This window comes from Homo sapiens, chromosome 12, assembly GCF_000001405.40.
Source record: "Homo sapiens chromosome 12, GRCh38.p14 Primary Assembly".
Lineage (NCBI taxonomy): Eukaryota > Metazoa > Chordata > Mammalia > Primates > Hominidae > Homo > Homo sapiens.
In genome coordinates, this window is record NC_000012.12 from 109,111,567 (window position 1) to 109,117,584 (window position 6,018).

A 6,018-nucleotide genomic window follows, 5' to 3' on the forward strand; every position below is an offset into this window, starting at 1 on the left:
TTTTTTTTTGAGCGAGTCTCACTCTGTCGCTCAGGCTGAAGTACAGTGGCGCGATCTCGGCTCACTGCAACCTCTGCCTCCAGGGGTCAAGCAATCCTCCCACCTCAGCCTCCCAAGTAGCTGGGATTACGAGCATGCACTACCACGCCCGGCTAATTTTTGTACTTTTAGTAGAGAAACTTTTAACTAAATGGGCAAGAAAGAATGCATCCAGCCAGAACCTCGAGACTAGCAAATGCATTTCTTAAAAGGGCAGGGAGGGAGACCAGAGTTTGCTTGAAAATACTGCTTCCTTTCCTTATCTATGTAGGGAAGGGTTTATCATTCTACATTTTGTGGTCAGCAAGCTGGCTTTCACGGGAGGAGGATGCATGGTCGATTTGCCCTCTGGTAACTTTGGGATCTTCCTCTAAACAACAGTGGACTCCCTTAGCCAAGGAAGAAGTGAAGGGATAATTGTGCTTACACCAGTTAGCTTTTCACACTTCTCTCTCTCCCGGTGCAGCACTGCCGGTAGGGGGAGCAGTGAGCTCCAAGTTTCCAGGAATAATTCAAAACACAATTATTTTATATTTTAAAATATAAAATGTATATTTTAAATATATATACATACATTTCTATATAATATATACAAAAGTTCAATATACGTATATTGAATATATATGTATATAAGTTCAATATATATGTATGTATATTCAATATATATGTATGTATATATGTATATATATTCAATATATATGTGTATATATTGAACTTTAGTCATGTGGTGACACTTTAAACAGTACACAGAGCAGCTTCTGGGTCCATGACCCTCCAAAAATTTAATTACTGATTCTTTAGAAACTAGGCAACTCAGCCAGGTGTGGGGGCTCACGCCTGTAATCCCAGCACTTTGGGTGGCCGAGGTGGGTGGATCACCTGAGGTCGGGAGTTCAAGACCAGCCTGACCAGCATGGAGAAACCCTGTCTCCACTAAAAATACAAAATTAGCCAGGCGTGGTGGCACATGCCTGTAATCCCAGCTACTTGGGAGGCTGAGGCAGGAGAATCACTTGAACCCGGGCGATCGCACCATTGCACTCCAGACTGGGCAACAAGAGCATAAGAGCAAAACTCCGTCTCAAAAAAAAAAAAAAAAAAAAACCAACCAGGCAACTCATTTTGATGAACTCTTAGCTATGTGGTAGTTGCTTTTTTCATGTGTCAAGTCTGCTATATTCCTGCACTCAGTATGCAAAGATGCATAAAAGGCAGTCTTAGCCTTTTAGGTCAGCGGTTGGCAAACTTTCTGTGAAGGGTCAGGTGGTAAATATTTGAGGGTTTGCAGTTACCCGTTCTCCGTGGGAACTGCTCAACAACTCACTGCAGAGAAAGCAGCCGTGGGCAAAACGTACAGGAACGGGCGAGGCTGTGTTCCAATAAAACTTTATTATTTATGGACACTGAAATTAGATTTTAATATGATTTTCATGTGTCACGAAATCTTTTTTTTTCCTAAGCATTTAACAAATGTAAAAACCACTCCTAGCTTGGGAGCTATTGGAAAACAGGCATCTGGAACCACAGTCTGCAGACCCCTGTGTGTACTCACTGTCAGTGCGGTGGGAACAAAAAGGCAGCAACGGCTGGGTCAGCCCAGGAAAGAAGACATTTCCCAGTGGAGAGAATGTCTGAGTGGATATTGAACTTTCCAGGCCACAAAGAGGAACAAGAGCATTCAACACTGAGGAGCCTGCCTCTGCAAAGGCAGGACCCACATGCTGGATGTGGAGCTGGATGGTTCCACGTGGCAAGGTTTGGGAGGCTTCTGAGAACCTGGCCTAATGATTCCTGTTTCCTCCCTTTTCAGGTGAGTTAGGGAGATCTCTGACAGCTTTTGGAATTGGTAACACAAGGAAGTCAGTTATTAGCAAATGTTGTACTGGAAACGTCCAGTTATAAAATAATTAATTGTGTGAAAGTCACTGCCTGCTTTTGATCTACATCCAGCAGGGGAAGGTCAGGGACTATAAATTGTTTGCATTTTTTAAAGATAGACTTTAGCATGTTGCTAGTATGCTTGCATTATTAGATAATACATCTCTGTTCAAATTCACTTTCTGCTTCAGTTTGCTTCTCATATAAAAGTCTTCGCAAGTATGTTTGGTGGAGAAGCAAACTTTTTGGCGTATGCGTGTGGTGTTGGCTTTTCATCCTTGCCAAACCTTCAAGATTTGCAAGGAAAAACAGGTTGCAGGGAGGTGCTCTGGGTTACTTTGAAAAGACCTCACATGCTGACTTGTGCTGACTCAAGCTGAGGAAAGCTAGAACATTCCTCTGCTGGAGATGGCCTCCTTGTTTAGAGTCCTTCTGACACTGTAATTTGGGTCTGACAACAGGAAGTTCCTTTGTAGTTTAAGTCAATGGGAACCAATTTTTTTTTCTTTTTTTTGCGATAGAGTCTCACTCTGTTTCTTAAGATGGAGTACAGTGACTCAGTCATGGCTCACTGCAGCCTCAACTTCCTGGGTTCAGGTGATCCTCCTGCCTCAGCCTCCTGAGCAGCTGGGACCACTGGTATGCACCACCATACCTGGCTAAGTTTTTAATAGAAATGGGGTCTTGCTAAGTTGCCCAGGCTAGGGAACCAGTTTTTAAGTTTTTGAAATATGCTTGGAAATATAAATATTGGTGAGCGGAGCAGACCAGGAGATCAATAATTTATGTTCTCTGCTTGTTAGTTGTGTATATAGCATGTTCTTTTGTCTCTCTTAATGATGTTTGGGGTGAGGGTGTGGGAGAGGAAGGTAGGGAGCCTTCCAACAAGAAGCTAGTGCTCCTCCAGCCTAGAGAAGCTAAAACATGCAAAGCCAGACCCCATCCCTGGAAATTCTGATTTAATTGGTGGGGGAAGGCATGTGAATTCTCACAGAGGGTCCGGTTTGCAGCAGGACTGGTGATTTCTTTCCAGGTGCCTTGTTTTGTTAGACCATGTGGTCACTTAATAATTTTTTTTGGGCCAGGTACAGTGGCTCATACCTGTAATCCCAGTGCTTTAGGAGGCAAGGCAAGAAGATCGCTTTAGGCCAGGAGTTCAAGACCAACTTGGGCAACATAATGAGACCTTGTCTTTAAAAAAAAAAAATTTTTTTTTTTTTAATTAGCCAGGGGTGGTGTGTGCCTGTAGTTCTAGCTACTTGGGAAGCTGAGGCAGGAGGATCATTTGAGCCCAGGAGTTCGAGGCTGCAGTGAGCTATGATCATGCCACTGCACTCCATCCAGCCTGGGCAACAGAGCAAGATCCTATTTCTAAAACAAAACAAAACAAAACAAAAAATGTAACTTGATACCTGTGACTTTCTGAAACTAACAGCTGTTTGAAGAAATATATTTCTATTACCGTTCTTGTGTTTGATGGAAAGAGTTTATGAATAACTTTGGTTTCAAGCCTTCCAATTATATTCTGGAAAATACCTGTGTCTTAAAGAGATAGTGTCTAGGGAGAACTGAATCACTGCAGAGTTCTTCACCTGTATGTGTGGGTATGTCTAGTCTTTTTGCAAGTAATGAATTTCATTAGAAAGATATTAAGTGCTTGTCATGAGCAAGCCCCTGTGCCAGAAACTCAATATAAATCATTTCATTTTCTCACCCATATGGTGAAGTAGTTGATGAGGACACTGAAGCTCAGCCATTTGCTCAAAGTCATGGCTAATGGAGGGAGGATTCAAACCCACATCAGCTTGATTTCAAAGCCTAATAGTCCTGCCACTGTCAACACCCTGCCTAGATCATGATTATTTGGAATCACTGGGAAAGAATTTTTTTTTCATGAAGTTAGAAGCCTAAGAATTTTTTTCAATGGAATTTTATAAAAATGTCCTTGAATCACAGATGGCTCTCCCTGGAAACATAGGTTTGTTTGAGAGTCACCTCTTTTATTGTCTTAATAAATAGACTAAGAGCCATCACAAGGGCTACTGTGGCTAGAGAACATATGACTCGGGCCGGGCATTGTGCAGGCATTTGACCTGCATTCCTTCACCCCGGTTCCTGTAACATGTACCTGGTGCTGTGGGGTTACAGCTGATAATGCTGAGGTTTCCAGAGCACATGCTTCCAAGTCCAGTGGAGAAAATCCCAAGAAGTCCAATATTCAATGACTGTTCCTTATTGCAAAATAAGCCCAGAAACAAAGTAGCTGTGAACAGGCTGCACCAGCCCCAGCAGCAATTTCCATTTAAACCATTTTGCACAGATCCCGTGCTCAGCGCTCTCGCCAGTTTCTCCACTTGCTGTTTAGTAAGGCCATCATTGTTGGCAGGAAGTGGGTTCCACCTTCCCTGTTGCCTGAGCACAATGTGCTCCTATGTGGTCTCCACTTTCCTGCTGCCTAGTTGGCTGGGCTTCTCCAGCTGGGCCTTGGAGGCGACCTTTGTCCCACATGCCAGCCCTCCCCACGTTGCAGAACACTATGTAACTGCAGCGTGTGCTGAATTTCCTCTTCTGTGCTCAACCCTAGCAAGAGCCAGTCAACCCTGAATGAGAATGTGGCAATGGAGCTGTTTTTTTCTTTTATCCCCAAGTCACAAGAAATTGGAAACATTCCATTAAGTGGCGTGATTTGAGAGGGTTTCGCCAAATCTTTTCAGGGGAGAGAAGCCAGGTGACCTGATAGCGATCACCTTCCCATTCACGGTTTTCAATGGGGGCTTGTTTCTCAAATGACCAACACCTGTAGGCAGTTAATTTTCAGCATGTCACAGGAGGGCCCAGATGACTTTCTGCCTACTGCTTACGACAACATGGACTTTAGATGCCTCATGGCTTCAACAGCTAAGAATTATGAAATAAAGCGAGTTATGGGATTAAAAGGCAGATAGCAGAACTCTCCCAGGAGTAGCCAGGGCTGCACAAGTGGTTTGACGTGGGATCTTTCTCATCTTTGCCCCGGGTTGTTGCTGCTTTGAAGGTTAAGTGCTCCAGGGATATTTTTAAACAGCAGGGGCTGATTAATCTAAAAGTGACATTTGCAGTCCCCAGAGTAAGCAGCTAGCAGGCTTAGATTCAGGCCCTCAGCAAACAAGGAACCTGGAAAATGTAACCCTGAATGCACGGTGGGGAGGACATGGCAAGAGAAAAGCGGCAGGAATAAAGTGGTAAGTCAGCTCGCCCCTCCCCGGGGTCCGGACCATTCTGCCAACGTCCAGGTAAATTCGAACCCAATGTATAGTGAGAGCAGACCCTGTCTGAAGGCATGCACTTGGGGTCCCCGGGGAAAAACGACTCCCGTCATGTTTGAAGGAAGCTAATCAGAAGAGCTCGAAATGTAACGCAGATGAAAGAGAAGGGCCTTTCTTTGCTTCTATAAATGGTGGTGTGGATCCCTGGACATGCTCCCATATAAGTTCCACAACGTTTTATAAACAATTCTGTTTTTTGCCTCCAAAGCTACTGTCTTAAGGAATAGTATTCTGTTTCTGTTTCCTCAAATGGTTGTTCTTTTTTTTTTTTTTTTTTTTTTTAAAGCAGACTAAGGCTGGGCACGGTGGCTCATGCCACCCAGCACCTTGGGAGGCAGAGGCAGGTGGATCACTTGAGGTCAGGAGTTCGAGACCAGCCTGGCCAACATGGCGAAACCCCATCTGTACTAAACACATAAAAATTAGCCAGATGTGGTGATGGGCACCTGTAATCCCAGCTACTTGGGAGGCTGAGGCAGGAGAATCGCTTGAACCCAGGAGGTGGGGGTTGCAGTGAGCTAAAATTGCGCCACTGCATTCCAGCCTGACTGACAGAGCAAGACTCTGTCTCAAAAAAAAAAAAAAAGAAAAGAAAAAGAAAAAAAGGAGACTAAGAGTAAAGCGTTTGTAGTGGTCCTATATCCTATATTTCTAGGAAGACATGACTTTCTTTCAATGTTGAAAAAATGCATTCCAAAATAATATGCAAGTTAAAAAGTCACTCAGCACCGTGCAAAAGTCTCCTTGCTGTTATTCCTGTCTAACCCTCCTCCTCCAGGTAGCCACTGTGCACATT

The 6,018-nt window shown here is 43.9% G+C and overlaps 1 protein-coding gene across 11 annotated transcripts in view; it reads left to right on the forward strand.

Moving 5' to 3' along the window:
* Positions 1-6,018, forward strand: part of ACACB (acetyl-CoA carboxylase beta) — a 157,038-nt gene that overhangs the window by 378 nt on the left and 150,642 nt on the right. For 7 of the 11 annotated variants that reach the window (XR_007063072.1, XM_011538263.4, XM_011538264.4 and 4 more), the window contains exon 1: positions 11-1,849. Coding sequence is in view for 3 of the 11 variants with exons in the window: in XM_011538264.4 (XP_011536566.1) it covers positions 1,824-1,849 (26 nt within the window). In the remaining 8 variants the exon portion in view is untranslated. Of the gene's footprint in view, positions 1-10; positions 1,850-5,020; positions 5,139-6,018 lie in introns of those variants that run through there. The other 4 variants (XM_047428764.1, NM_001412734.1, NM_001412737.1 and 1 more) reach the window with 4 other exon arrangements.